Raw genomic sequence first — 16,042 nt, forward strand, 5'->3', positions numbered from 1 at the left:
CTCCCAGACTCTACTGACTCTGGTTGAGCAGATGGTAAAAATCACATTTTGTCTCTTTTTCCTCCCAAAACTTTTGATTAATGAGAGAAAAGAATTTGTGTTAATTCTTTTAGGTATAGCAACTCTGGTGTACTTTTAGTATGAATATTAATATTGTTTCATACTTTTCCTCCTAGAAATAGTTTTTTCCTTTGTCTTTGTCTTTCTGTGTTGTTCTGTCATAAAGAGAGGTACCCTGTGGTAGTACATAGGCCTAAAACTCCCATAAATCCATCGTTCAAGCGACTGCTGCAGACTGGTCAGTTTTGCAGTTCTGGCCAGACCAGTGGCTATTTAGATGAACGTTGCTCTGGGTCCCCATAATAAAAAGCAGATGAGATTCCCCTCTCGTCTAATATTTTATGTACTTTAGAGATTGACTTGTGACCAAGTGGGAGCACTCTCTCAACTTTAACCATCTGGGGTGCATGATATTTGAGTCATGTCTGGTGGCCAGCCTAACAAGACTGGGAACCCTAAAAAATGCAAGATTTTAAGCAGTATACTTTTTGTTCTGAACATGTCATATTCTCAGGGAAGTTTATCGTATGAAGTCCCATCCTTAAGGAGATTTTGTCACCTCAACACTTGTTGCCTTGTTAGTCATGGGAAAGTCTAGTCCCAGGACTGCCTACCTATGTCATGGATTGAGTCCATGATTGGTGGCCCACCACAAGTTTGTGGGGTATTGGAGGCACTGTATACATAAACATACAATTATCTTTAACCATCTATGACAAAACGAGTCTTTTGAAATTTTATCCTACCTTTGGAATTGAACTTTTTTGGGTGGGGATTTTTGGAGCTACCTCTTCTATATCCTCTCTAGGGAATTCCTCTTCTATACCCTCTGCAGGAAATACGTCTTGCTTATATGGTAAAAACTCATTCTAAACTTGGAAAATCGCCTGCTGGACTTTTCATAAAGAGGTTACTGGGCTGATCCACTATTTAAATAATTACAACTTTGGTAATTATCTGTGTGACTCTTGACTTGTGGGGGTATCCATTTATTATTGATACTTTTCTCTTCCACAGATGGCTTTTGACTTTCTATCTTTTCCCATCTGTAGATCACACAAAGTTTTAGGGGTTTTGAATATAGTTTGTCAACTGAGAAGGTGAGACGGTAGACAATATGGCCAGATAGAAATGTGGGTTGTCCCCATTTGCGGGGAGCAAAACTGTCCTTTCATTGAGTTGCTATTGGGTTGGTTCTGTATCTTGTGAAAATAACTTTGCATCTCTTTTGAGATGCCTAGTTTGTCCTTGTTAAGTCATAACCTTTGTTAAGGCTTATTGATTATGGTGAGTCACTTGGAAAGGTACCTTTGGTTTAAAAGAAAAAAAAAATATTTAAAATCTAGGTAAATTGACTGTTTGTCCCAGCTAACATTTAATAAGAGATTTTCAAAAATGTTTATTTTAAAGAGATCTATCATCAGAAGTCAGCTTAATTAAAAGCTGATAGGCTATGGCAGGAGAATTGCTTGAACCCAGGAGGCAGAGGTTGCAGTGAGCAGAGATCACAATGCTACACTCCAGCCTGGGCGACAGAGCAAGACTCTGTCTCAAAAAAAAAAAAATACATATGGATATGTATATAATTCCTTAATATCAATAGGAAAATATTTGTGAGTATTCTAATTTCTCTGACATTGTCATATTTGATTTGCAACTAATTTGATTGAATTGGGATCCTAAGAAGGTATATAAATTCACCTCCCACTAGGGAGGCCTCACAATCATGGAAGAAGGCAAGGAGGAGCAAGTCACATCTTATGTGGATGGTGGCATGCAAAAAGAGAGTTTGTGCAGGGAAACTCCCATTTGTAAAACCATCAGATCTTGCAAGACTCATTCACTATCTAAAGAAGAGCACAGGGAAGACCCGCCCCATGATTTAATCACCTCCCACTGGTTCCTCCCACAACATGTGGGAATTGTGGGAGTAAAAATTCCAGATGAGATTTGGGTGGGGACTCAGCCAAACCATATCATTTCGATCCTGAGCCCTCACAAACCTCATATCCTCACATTTTAAAATGAATCATGCCTTCCCAACAGTCCCCCATAGTCTTAACTCATTTCAGCATTAACTCAAATGTCCACAGTCCAATGTCTCATCTGAGACAAGGCAAGTTCCTTCCACCTATAAGCCTGTAAAATCAAAAGCAAGTTAGTTACTTCCTAGATGCATTAAGAGTAAAGGCATTGGGTAAATACACCTGTTCAAAATGGGAGAAATATGTGAAAACAAAGGTGTTACAGGTCCCATGCAAGTCCAAAATCCAGCAGGGCACTCGAATCTCAAAGATCTAAAATGATCTCCTTTAAATCTATGTCTCACATCCAGGTCACACTGATGCAAGAGTTAGGTTCCCATGGTCTTCAGCAGCTCCACCTCTGTGGGTTTTGCAGGGTACATCCTTCCTCCTGTCTGCTTTCACAAGCTGGCATTGAGTGTCTGTGGCTTTTCTAGGTGTACAGTGAAAGCTTTCAGTAGATCTACCATTCTGGGGTCTGGAGGACAGTGGCCCTTTTCTCACAGCTCCAGTAGGTGGTATCCCAGAAGGGATTCTGTGTGGGGGCTCCAACCCCACATTTCCCTTCCACACTGCCCTAGAGGAGGTTCTCCATGAGACCCTCGCCCCTGCAGAAAACTTCTGCCTGAACATCCAGAGATTTCCATACATCCTCTGAAATCTAGGCAGAGGTTTCCAAACCTCAGTTTTTTATTTTTGTGTACTCATAGGCTCAACACCACATGGAAGCTGCCAAGGCTTAAGGCTTGTATCATCTGAAGCCACAGCCCAAACTCTACATCAGCCCCTTTCAGCCATAGCAGGAGTGGCTGGGACACAGGGCACAAAGTCTCTGGGCTGCACTCAGCATATGGTCCCCAGGCCCAGCCTATGAAACCACTTTTTCCTCCTGGGCCTCTGATTCTGTGATGGGAGGCTGCTCTGAAGATCTCTGACATACTCTGGAGACATTTTCCCCATTGTCTTGAGGAGTAACATTCGGCTTCTCATTACTTATGCAAATTTCTGCAGCCTGCTTGAATGTCTCCTCAGGAAATTGATTTTTCTTTTCTATGGCATTGTCAGGCTGCACACTTTCCAAACATTTATGCTCCACTTTTCTTATAAAACTGAATTCCTTTAACAATACCCAAGTCACCTCTTGAATGCTTTACTGCTTAGAAATTTCTTCTGCCAAATACCCTAAATCATCTCTTTCATGTTCAAAGTTTCACAAATCTCTAGGGCAGAGGAAAATGCTGCCAGTCTCACTTCGCTAAAGCATAATGAGAGTCACCTTTGCTCTAGTTCCCAACAAGTTCCTCATCTCCATCTGAGACCAACTCACCCTGGGACCTTTTTGTTCATATCACTATCAGCATTTTTGTCAAAGTCATTCAACAAGTCTACAGAAACTTACAAACTTTCCCACAATTTTTTTTTGTCTTCTTCTAGAGTCCTCCAAACAGTTCCAACCTCTGCCTGTTACCCAGTTCCAAAGTCACTTCCACATTTTCAGGTGTCTTTTCAGCAATGCCCCACTCAACTGGTACCAATTTACTGTATTAGTTCATTTTCACACTGCTGATAAAGCCATAATCGAGACTGGGAGTAAAAAGAGATTTAGTGGACTTACAGTTCCACATGGCTGGGGAAGCCTCACAATGATTGTGGAAGGCAAGTAGGACCAAGTCCCGTCTTATGTGTATGGTAGCAGGCAAAGAAAGAGCTTATGCAGGGAAACTCCCATTTTTAAAACCATCGGATCTCACAAGACTCATTCACTATCTAAAGAACAGCACAGGGAAGACCCGCTCCCACGATTCAATCACTTCCTAGTGGGTTCCTCCAAGAACACGTGGGAATTGTGGGAGCTACAATTCAAGATGAGATTTGGGTGGGGACACAACCAAACCATATCACCTTATAAAGTTTCTGTGAAAATTAATTAGTTAATATACAACCAAAAATGTTTTATACTGTGTTTGACATATATTAAGCACTCAATAAATGTTTACCCTAAAATGTACATTTATTTTAAATCAAAGTTTATAATATAGTAGGTATTCATGCATTTATAAATGTAATTATTAATTTTTTGCAATACACTTTGAAAGAAAAAATTCATAATTAAGATTAGAATATCAATTTAAAGTGTTTAAAAATATCCTATTTATGTGTTAGTTGCAGAACCAATTTGCTAAAATAAGCTTATTGTATTATATCACAGGCCACATACAGAGCATTTAATAGAGAGTAGAGTGGTTTTCTGGACAGACATATTTTACAAATAAAGATATTCTCTTGAGAATGAAGGTTTAAAAAATAGAAGAACACAACCCTCACATGCTTTCCATGAACAAAGTAATTCACTGTTTGTAATCGATAATGAGAAACCCAGAAGTAATATGCAGAATATATAAATTGGTTGACTGATGCAATATATGCTATTCAAGGAGTTATGAGAAGTTGAAAAAAATGGCCTTCTTTAAAAAAGAAAATAATATAGTCCAAACTGAACATAATAGAGAATTCAGGATACAAACTGCAGTGATATGAACAAGGTTAATTTGGAAGGTCAGAGAAAATGAGAACATTAAACTTTTACAAGGCAAATATTAAAAATTGGAATATAGAAACAAGAATCAATAAGCAGAAAATATTTATCAAAATAATAAAATCCAGTGTAGCCTTCTATGGCAATTCTCAACATATCCTTTTAACCAATGTCTCATAGGTATAAAACAGTTTGAGAATGAATAAAGCCCTCTAAAATTTAGGCAAATTCTTCTTTAAATATAACACCTAATTACCACATTTTCCTAGCCTTGTTCATATGCAGATATTCATTTAATTATTTTTCAGATAAAAATTTTTGTTTTATTTAAACTGTTATACATCTAGACAATCATTTCCAGAACAACAGGATTAGTATCATTTGAGATAATCATATTAACTCTGAGTTAGCCCCAGATGATCAAACTTTACTTACCTTTTTTTTTTTTTTTTAAACAATATTGAGTGCTGCTTCTGGAGGAGCTAAGTGTAGAAAATACATAATATAAAAAACATAAAAAACTGAAGTATAGAAATGTGGATCTAACATTCTTTGAAAACTTATCACTTGGGTATTCCTGGGTTTCTTCATATTACATTTTATTTGAATTGGCAAAGTAGAGGTTGTTCCATGTTGACCAGATTGACATATTTTTGCAGGAGAGATAGCATAAAGTTCTTATATCTACAGCAATAGTTGAATCTATTACTTTCTTAATGGCATTTCCTAGAGCTTTATCTCTTTTATATTTTGCTCATATTCTATTATCAAATGCCCAGTTAAGCTTTGAAATAAAATAACATATTTTTATAAGTTAATTCAGGTTTTAACTTTGAATGTTTCTACAGGACTTGAGAAGTTATATCCATAAGCTTAATACATGTATAAAATACATATATTTGATTTTTAAAAAGTAGAAAAATGTGAAATGACTTCTGGATTGGTGACATTAAGAACCCTGTTCCTACTCCCCAGCAAAACAAACGGAATTAGTAAAAAAATTTTTTCAAATAGAAGCCCTGTGTCCTAATGGCACACAGCAAATGAAGAAAACATTCAAGATAATCTACTAAATCTCAGTAAGAGCAAATCTGTGATGCTTGAACAAAGGCCCACTTGCTACCCAAAACCGCAGCTCAGAATAATGAAAGTTCTACTCTGGGTGGATACAGTGAAAAAAACAGGACATCTATTTTTCCCAATTTTCAGTCTATGACATCTCCCTAGTTCAGGCGGGACCAGAATTTCTCATTTCACTAAGGTCCATGTGGCAGAAATTGGATTTTAGCAAGAATGTCTGGAGCTCTCTTGCCCCATTCACCCTCACTGCTAAAGCAGAAGCTCCATCCCAGGACAAGCACGTTGAGAGCACTGGGGCCCTAATTGCTCTTGCATCAGCACACTGCTGGGGTAGAGGTTTTATGCCAGTGAGGCTAGACAAGACCAGAGGGAATCTCTCCCATCTGGTGCATGTCCTGCTCATAAAACAGCAGCAGCACCTTTAGAGAAATAACTCTTTCCATTCCCAGTTCCAGAGCGCTGATTCAGAGGTTTTCTTAGAGACAGAGGCTGGCCATAAAAACAGAGACCTCTGAAGCTTCCCCCACGTGACTTGGCTTTATTTTGAATATAGTGTGGGGAAGCTAAAACTTAAGGCATTCTCAGTAACAGTGGAGGTTTTGGTAGTAAGCAATTAAAAGAAGGTTGGTATCTAAATGAGGGCAATAAGCTAACACACTAGGCCACTTAGTCTACCAGAGTGAACTAGAGACAAGATATCTAAGAAGAATCCTCTTGGAGTTAGAATAAACTTTAAAGACTTGCCTCAAGACCACCCCTGCAAAGAGGATAAAATTTAATTATATAAGACCCTGGATTAATTTATGCCCTAGGTCATTGTAGAAAACAAAATACCAATAGCCAGCAATTAGTAGAGGCTACGAGTTTGGTGTGATACCAGTAAAGATAGATGGCTTAACAGAAATATGATATAAAGGGACAAACCAAGAGAGCCCTGCTAAAGCCAGTACTATTCTTGAGTGCATTTTCTAAGGCAGCAATCTCTTGCAAAGGCCACAGACTTCAGGAGAAAATACTTTATTAAGATAGTGACAACAACAATTTATGAGGGAAAATCCATATCCAGAGTTGTTGTAATATATTCCCTAAAATGTTCAATTTTTAACAATAAAAACAAGACATGCAAAGACAGAGGAAAGTGTAACACACATATAGGAAAAAAAAAGATAACCAAAACTGCCTATGAAGGGGTCCAAGTGGTAGGCTTATCAGACAAAGCCTGCAAAGTATCTATTAAAAATATAATCAAAGGACTAAATAAACGAAACCATTCTTAAAGAAATAAAGGAAGGTATGATGACAATATTTTACTAAATAAAATATAACTTAAATGGAAATTAAAGAGTGGAAAATAAAATCATCAAAATAAACATTTCATTGGAGGAATTCAACAGTAGATTTAAACTGGCAGAAGATAAATTCAGTGAAGTTGAAAATAAAAGTTATGGTTCATTCTGAAGAACAGAAACAAAATAATGAAGAAAAACAAACAAACTTTTAGGAGAATATAGGGCAGATACAATTAAACACACCAGCATATGTAAAAAAGAATATCAGGATAGAAAATTGAGAAGCAAGCAGGAAAAATAGTCTAAAAAATAATGGCTGTAAACTTTCCAAAATCATTGGAAACCTTAAACATCTAAGAGGTTAAGGATTTTAGAGTGCATTTAAGCAAACTCCTTCATTTTACAGGCATGGACACTGAGCCTAGAAAGATGACAGATTTATATTTCCTTTAATATTCCCGAATGGTTCATACAAAAATCTGTATATGTGAAATTAGCCCAGAGAAGAGTTTTAGAACATGAGGTCAGGAGTTGTTAATTCACTCTAAAATCCTTAACTATCATAAACTTCTATAATTTTGTGTTTCAAGTGGCCTACGTGATTCTTCAATGAATAAAGCCTTTAAATCTTAACTCTATTTGAATTCCAGGCTCCAAACAAGGAATCAGTTCACACACTTCATTGCTTTAATAAAACTCCTCATTACTCAACGTAGTCACCTTTTTAACTCATATGCAGTCCATTGGACAATTGTTTATTAACCAATTCCTAATCTCACACATGGAAAGTCCTCCCACTCTTCTCCCCCTTTACAAATTTCTCCTGTCTTTTGGGGATCACCTTTAATCACAATTCCTCCCACACACCTTTTTTGACTTCCCTGATCTTTATCAATCAATATCACTGACTAACATAAACCTGATGGGCAATACACTGATCTTTAAAAAAACGTATTCCTATTCTCATCTGTTTAGTTTTCTCTCTTTGATCATGACTTTGCTTTGATACTTTTATTCATATGTGCCATATCACCAGATTCAATGCTGGGCATGCCCCTTCCACCAGCTGCTAGTTCCCATGTGCAGAATAGAAGGGTTTAATCCAACCATAGTACAGAAACATTTACCACACAGTTCAGAATTACAAAGGCTATTGGAAGATATAAAATTATTATAGAAAACCTTTGGGTTATAAGAATTGCTAGTTTTTGAGAATCATAAAAGAGGAAAAATATTACTCTCCTCTCTCTGGAAGAGAAAGATTCCTAACAAAAGGTCCTTTACAAAGCTACTTTATTAATGTTCACTAACATGAAAAAAAAATTGACCTATTTATCTGACAGCATTTGATTTTAGACTAATTAAAATTTCATAAAATTACTTAGCATTTATAATAGCAATAATTTATTAGAAATTGAGGATTAAAATAAAAAAATATTACACAAATCTAGTTTTGCAGAGTTATCTCTTTACAAAAAAAGTAATACATTATTTTGCAAATTATTTGGTATTAGGAAACCTATTTATATAATTAAAATTAGGTACAACAAACAACATAGTTTTAGAAGCATATGTGATGCTCTGTGTGCTCTATATACTTTATTATAGCTGGGTCTTTTTTTCTAAAAATAGTAAAATAAATCTGTCCTCTGTCAGGTTTTCAGAAACACCAAATTAAGAATGTTTTTATGACATCTAACTTTCATTAGGATAAATATTTTAAAGAACGTTGGAAACGATACATTTAGTTTGGATATCTTTGGGGTTTTTTTGAATTGGTAAAATTACCTATTTTTATGATGTGTGAATTATCTAGAAGCCTGTACACAAAAAAGAATAAAGGCCTTCAAATAAAAGCATTTCTAAAGGCTAAAGAGATTTTAACCTCATAAATTTGACTTTGAGCATACTTAGTTTTAATATTTGTTCTTTCTGAGGAAAATAAGGTCAAAATAACTAAAGTTCTCTTTAATTTTAAAGACAAACATGCCTCTCTAAATAAACCATACTTTCATTCATATCTAACACATTTTGTTTATTATATCTCTACTATTAGTTTCCTACCCTAGTTTCTGCACAATGCCCAGTTTTTCAGAGTTAATCTGTATTATAACATAAGATGTATTCATTGAATAATAGGATTGCCTGTAAGATTTACATAGCCCCCTCAATTAAATTAAACATGACTTGTATGTCTACAAATACATTACTTTCTACTCTATTTGACCTATTGTGTATAAGAGATTTAAATGTATGAGATTTCAACATGTTGGAACTTTCTGTTCACTTTGCACATTGGCCAAACAAAAGTTTTATCCAGATTTAAACTAATTTTATACAAAGCAGCCAATATTGTAAAAATAATGTCACTGTATAGAGACTAAAATATAGTGGTTGATCCAATTTTCTATGGAAAATTTATTTACATGAACTAAATGTTTTGAATTCTTTACCCTTTCACAAGCAACTAAAAATGCTGCAGGTAAATTTTTTTAAGTATCAGCTATTCTTTGTTTTCTCTACAATTCTTACCTTTTCAGAATCTATTTAAGCTAAACAAATGTAACAAATAATTCAATTCTCTAAAGACCTTGGATGGTAATTTAAAAAATGATAAAGATATTACAACATAATATATTTTTAATAAAACACAACGTATGATTAGACATGAATATGTATTATGTATTAGGAAAAAGACTGAAGAAAAAATTTGCCAAAACATATTCAAAAAAACACAGCTACAACAGATATTTCTTCACAATGAGAAAAAAAATTAAGCCTATGTTCAGGAGTCTTTCAAGCTTTGCAGAAATTCTTGTTAGACTTGCCACCATTACAATAAATAAAATTATTTACAAATAATGCCATGCTTGTTAGGTAATAATAGATTTCCAATGGAGGAATACACATTAAATCAGCAAATGTTTTCACTGTTTTTATTGGGCCTGAACAGAGGAGACGACAGAATATGTTAAATGCTAAAATTGGCTATTAAAAGACAGTGAATCCATTTCACTGCAGCTTTTTATTTGTTTGGTTGGTTGAGTTTTTAAAAAATATATATCATAGTATCATACATACCTGATAAAATTGATTCATCGTATCTCTAATGTCTGTTTCTGTGTCTCAGCCACTGTCCAATATCCAATTTTCCAGAAGATACTCCCTTCAGTCACTTTAAATGTGATAGATATTTGTACCTGATTTTAATAGGAAAAATTATCAGACAGTAGGACTCATTAGATGCCACCTTTTCAGCTACTTGCTACAGGTCACTGCTATAGCTTTTCACCTTATCAAATTGAATCAGACAGTGGCAATAATCTGATTGCATTCAGCACGGTGTCTGCAGAAACATCTCTACTTTCTGAGCAGCTCTATTGTATTCATCTTCCTTCAGATTGCATCCAGTTTCATTACGGAACTTTGCTTCAAGGATTAACTTGGGATACAAGAAGAAAAAAATCAAAAGCAAGATGCTGAAATTGCCTTGAGAGACTTCAATAACATCAGTTTAAATTTGTCATACCTCAAATTAAATTTCAAAGGAGACTAGTTAAAAGAAAGTTGGCAGAAAGCTGTTTTTTCCTGTAAGATACAACTTTCTTGGCATGCACAAGTCACTTAACATTTCTGAACTGTATTTTCAATTAGCAAATAAGAATCAAAACTATATAAGGGAAATTGCTCTCTAAAATGTAGGTTATCCTTCAGATAAAATCCAAATATTTAAAGGCCTACACAGCTTGTAATAGTAATGAAGTTATATTTGTATTTAAATCCTAAAATTGCTGATTGTTTTCTCCATCTACACAAGTAAAAAATATTCCAACTCCCATATCACTCCTTCCATGCCCCATCCCAACTCCACCCTTCCAATTATTTTTCAGGAAAAGCCTCCTCTCTTTTTCTCTCTTTCGTCTTCTTGGTAGCTACCTACCCTCAAATATCCCCTTCAGCCATTTTTGTGCTGCTAAAGACATGCTTTCCCTTTGTAGATATTTAAATCCTATGTCCAAAACAACTCTTCCTATACTTCAGTATTCATAAAACCTTTTGTGAAAAGAGCCCACAGAAATTCAGTGATTTGATGGAGCAGGGCATAACAATTATCTAGAACCTATTATAACATTTGCAAGACTTTTGCAAAGTGAACTATTAAACACAGCCATTAATAGAAGTTAAATTATATGAACTACAAGAAAATTAATTATATTAAAAACCTGGGCAAAAATTCTCACAATTTACCACTTTAAACTACATTGTACTATTATCTATCTTATTAAGGTTATTTACACCTGTTTTATATATATGGTGTAAATACTCTTAAATTAACTTTAGCCTAAAGCTGCCTCCTTACATACTATGAGGTCAGCCTAAAGTTGTCTCTGTACATAGTGAACTGCAACCTAAGTGAATGTGTAGACAGTTTGTAACCTACTCTTGCAGCAGTCATTGGGTTTTGACCAATCAAAGGTAACCAGCTATCCGAACTGTGTTCAAATAAGACAAACGTCAAACTGTAACCAACCCAACTGTTTCAGTACCTCACTTCCATTTTCTGTATGTCACTTTCTTTTTCTGTACATAAATCATCTTTGACCAAAGGGCAGCTCTAGAGTCTCTCTGAACCTCTTCTGCTTTGGCGGCTGCATAATTGTTGGGAATAAGAGTTCAGAATCACACTGAAAATAAGCAATTAGACAACATCTCAGCAAGGCAAATTTACTTCTGCAGAAGGGTGTGTCTTGTGTTGGAGCAATGGTGAGAGCACACAGAACAAAGGAAAGCAGGGGTTTTTTATTATCTCTAATGCAGCTTCTGCTCCTGTGTCTTTCCCCTATTGGTTAGGGTTGGACCACATGGTCTAAACTAGTCCAATTGGCTAAACATTTAAACTTTCTTAGATAAGGTAGACACATAAGGGAAGTGAGAAGAGAGGGAAGAGGGGTCATTTACAGGGGAACTAGGAAGGTAACCTATTCCCTAATAAGGAAAGGAATGTCGACTGGGGTTGTAGCAAGTTCTGGCATGCCTAGGCATATTCAGACAAGTTGGGGTGCAGCAAAGGCAAGGGGGTATTTGGAATTATAGGATAGAGAATGGGAAACTGGATAAGCTGTTTGAAGAGGGAACCTAACTGTATCTAACAATTTCCCCCCTTTTGATTTTTACAATCTTCCCTCTTCAAACCTTTTTAACATGTCTTGACTTTGTTGTTCTGCTTGATCTTCTAAAAGAAAGAGCTTATCTGAATAAGGCAGGGGAGGATTGAGGAAAGTTTTGGTGAGAGTTGTCTCAATAAGTCTTTGTATTAACCCTCAAGCACAGGGTATTTGGCAACATCCAACAAGGATTAGTACACTTATAACAATGCCAGGGAGGTAACTATTGAAGTTACTAACTTTTCCCATCCACTGAACCACTTTTCCATGAGGCTTGTAAAGGGATCCTCTATTCTGAGTTTTTAGCCAATTCATCTGATAGAGAGGTAAGGCCCTGAAAGGCTTTTGTAATTGTCCCATTGGGGGCTGTGTTGTTAGAGATGAAAGTACAACACTGGGTTCTGATCATGAAAGAAACTCCACCTTTCTCTGCTAGTACCATGTCTAATGCCATCCTATTTTCCCAGGACATTTGACTGGTGGGCCTTAATTGTTCAGCTATTCCTTTAATGGCATCTCTGGTATAGTTAAATCCTTGCTGGTTATAGTAAATGTAATTTATCCAATCTACATTTTTATTAATAGTTAACCACCAGAACAATGTGGATTCAAACCATGCAGCTATTTGGTTTCAAGCTTTAAATTCATTTGACACTCTTCATGGAACCCTGATGGCATCTATGTAAACTTAAGGATCAAAAGACTCATGAGGGGTCTCTCCCAGTTTATAGTGCTTTGCTTTTACTTTTTCTGGTTGATGAAATGCCAGGGTGAAAGGGATAGCCAATTGAATTAGAGAACTAGTTCCGCTCCAGTTACTTGGCAGAGTGTCCAGCAGGGGTCCACCACAATATGACCATACATCTGCTCAGGAATGGCTAAGGGCAGACTGATGGGTAAGCTCTTGGAAGGGCCTAAGCTCTTTCGATCCCTTTAAGTCTCCAAGGAATGCGAAGTATTCCCTCTGTCGTGAGAGACATGAGGTAAACTTGACATTGGAAGGCAGAGTCTGGATGGCCCTTGGGGCCTGACCTGCAGGGTATTGAACTTCAGGGAACAGCAGAGAAAGAGCTTGGCACAATTTGTCTTCCTAGGTGTGGGGCCTTGAGAAAGAGCTACCATACAGCTCATGCACAGTCGGCAGGAAGACTATCCAAGTGGAAAGGGGGTGATCTGGGCCTCTGGTCTACTGTGCACACAAGCGTAACAGTCACTTTTGCTTAGGACATGGATGGAATATTTAATCCATTCCAGCCAGGCATTTGTATCTCATTAACCTATCTCAATTGCTAGGGTTTATTTTAGATCTTTTACTTCTATAATGGACACCTTGATTTAAACATTAGGTGCAGGAATAACAGGTGTTTGTTTCAAAGCTGAAGCTATTGGGGATGGGGAAGGAGATGGGAGGAAACAAAATGTATCTCAAAAATACCTATAGGGTCTCTCCTGTTAACATCATCCCCTATACCATAGAGACAGCTGAGGGCAGGCCTGGGGTCAGTAGAGGTAGGGATAGTAATAGAAATGAGGATGAAGTTGCATTGGTGGTATTGGTAATCAGGGGAAGTAGTTCCTTTAGTAAAATGAAGGTAAAGTTTTAGGGAGGTACAGCCTTCTAAGGAAGTCTAGCCCTGGGACTGAGTGATCCAGATAATATCATACCAGAAATAGCAAGGTAGCCAATTATAAGGAATTTTACAAGGATTAGGTTGAGAGTGGGGTGAGTACTAAGGGCAAAGATACTTTTCTGAAGAGGCTAGTTGCCTTTGACTTTGTAGGTCTCCACAGGGTTTGGCTAAGTAAGCATCAAATGCAATAGTTTGGCAGGGAGGCTGACCTGGTTACATTGATAGCAAAGTGGCTGACAGTGGAGTGAGGGAAGAAGAGACAATATAAGAGATGAAAGAGGGTTAGACTTTTCTTAGTTTTAGTTTGGTGGGACTTGATTCCAGAACAATGGACTATGATTCTGAAGACTGTGGCAGTTTATTGACTCGGGTATGGTAAGTCCACCCTCTTTCTGCTGTTCATACTGTGGTCTTAGTAGTTAGAAGCACTAGGTAGGGTCCTTTCTAAGCCAGTTCGAGTTTTCCTTCTCTCCAGCTGTTAATGAGAATGTGATCTCCAGGTTGATGCAGATGTGCTGGGAACCTCAGGAGTGGCGCCTGTGCTAAAAGGCCTTTAGTTCTGAGGGAAGAGAAGGTGGAAGATAACTCAAGTATATCGTTTTTGAGAAACTGGTCTTTCATCTCAAGCATAGGAATGTCAGCAGTGGAATGTAAATAAGGCAAATTATATAGCATTTCATAAGGGAATAAGCCGACATCTTTCAGAAGGGCAATCCTGACCCTTAAGAAGGCAATGTGGAGGAGTCTCTAAAACCAATTTGGTTAAGTGGCTCCTCAGAGTCTGGTTCATTCTCAGTATTCTTCCTGATGAAGGTGGGTGCCAGGGAGTATGGCACTCCTATATTATGTTTAGTGCTTGGGCTAATTTCTTAATGACATGTGCAGTGAAATGAGTCTTATTATATGAATCAATATTTTAACCTAAGTCCTAGAGGGCTATCAGGGGGAATATCATTGTTATTATCTCTATCCTTTTCACTCCCTGTCTTACTTGGGGCATTTCCCATGTTGGGTCCTGGTTAGGCTCAATCCCTCATACTAGGAATTTCTTGCCTTTCACACACACTTGACCTCCAAGATATCCCGACCACCAAGGAATACCTCACTGCCCTGGCTGCTTTTCTTACCTTGATCCAGACAAAGAAATGCTTCACCACCCCCACGGCTTTTCTTACTTTGGTCCCCACCAAGAAATACTTCAACACCCCTGTGGCTTTTCTTACCTTGGTCCCAACCACCAAGGAAATACTTTGCCAGCTCCCGTGGCATTTCTTTCCTTGGTCTGTGCACAGAGCTACCTGGTGGCCATGGTATTGGTAGGCCTTTTCCTCCCACGTTGCTGAGAGTCCGGGTTTATTCATCACACCAGGTGGGTCTTGATCCTTTACCCCTGAGGCCACTGCAACTAGGCAGTGGGACGTGTCTCCTCATGAGAGAGGACTGGACACCCCTCCCCAGAGGAGAATGGTTTTCCCGTATGGGCCACAAAATTGTTGGGAATAAGAGCTCGGAGTCTCAAAGAAAATGAGCACTTAGACAGAGAACGTCTCAGCAAGGCAAATTTATTTCTGCAGAAGGGTGTGTCTCGTGTATGGAGCAATGGCAAGAGCACACATAACAAAGAAAAGCAGGGGTTTTTATGATCTCTAATGCAGCTTCTGCTCCTGTGTCTTTCCCTTATTGGCTATGGTTGGACTGCACTGTCTAAACTAGTCCTGAATGGCTAAACATTTAAACTTTCTTAGATAAGGTAGGCACATAAGTGAGAAGAGAGAGAAGGGGGGTCATTTATGTGGGGACTAGGAAGGTAACCTATTCTCTAATAAGGATAGGAATGTGGATTGGGGTTGTAGCAAGTTCAGACATGCCTAGGCATATTCAGACAAGTTGGGGTGCAGCTAAGATAAGGAGGTATTTGGAATTATAGGATAGAGAACGGGGAAACTGGATAAACCATTTGAAGAGGGAAACTAACTGTATCTAACAATAATTTCTGAATCATTCTTTGCTCAAACTAGTTTAATTTTTCTAAAGTTATTTTTTTAACAATGCTATACAATGACATGCTTCTGCATACAGCTTCCTAACTCCACATCCAATGATCTTGAGTTGTTAGTCTGAAGTCTTCCATGGTGAGAATATTTTAGTGGTATGCTGGTAAATGTTTAACAACCAGTTCTCCAAAAGAAAAATGACCTGATTTATAGCATGTATCAATGTTGTGGCATAAGTATCCTCACTGTAGTTGAATCAACTT

General features: G+C 37.3%; 1 annotated feature.

Moving 5' to 3' along the window:
* Nucleotides 11,393-12,592: an enhancer, noted in NCBI's record as "P300/CBP strongly-dependent group 1 enhancer chr3:145071494-145072693 (GRCh37/hg19 assembly coordinates)". NCBI's record gives its function as "activates an origin of replication core promoter dependent on BRD2, BRD4, P300/CBP, MED14 and CDK7 cofactors, with strong dependence on P300/CBP, by STARR-seq in HCT116 cells {active_cell/tissue: HCT116}" and the evidence as "EXISTENCE:reporter gene assay evidence [ECO:0000049][PMID:35650434]".

The sequence above is a fragment of the Homo sapiens genome, chromosome 3 (assembly GCF_000001405.40).
Source record: "Homo sapiens chromosome 3, GRCh38.p14 Primary Assembly".
Classification (NCBI taxonomy): domain Eukaryota; kingdom Metazoa; phylum Chordata; class Mammalia; order Primates; family Hominidae; genus Homo; species Homo sapiens.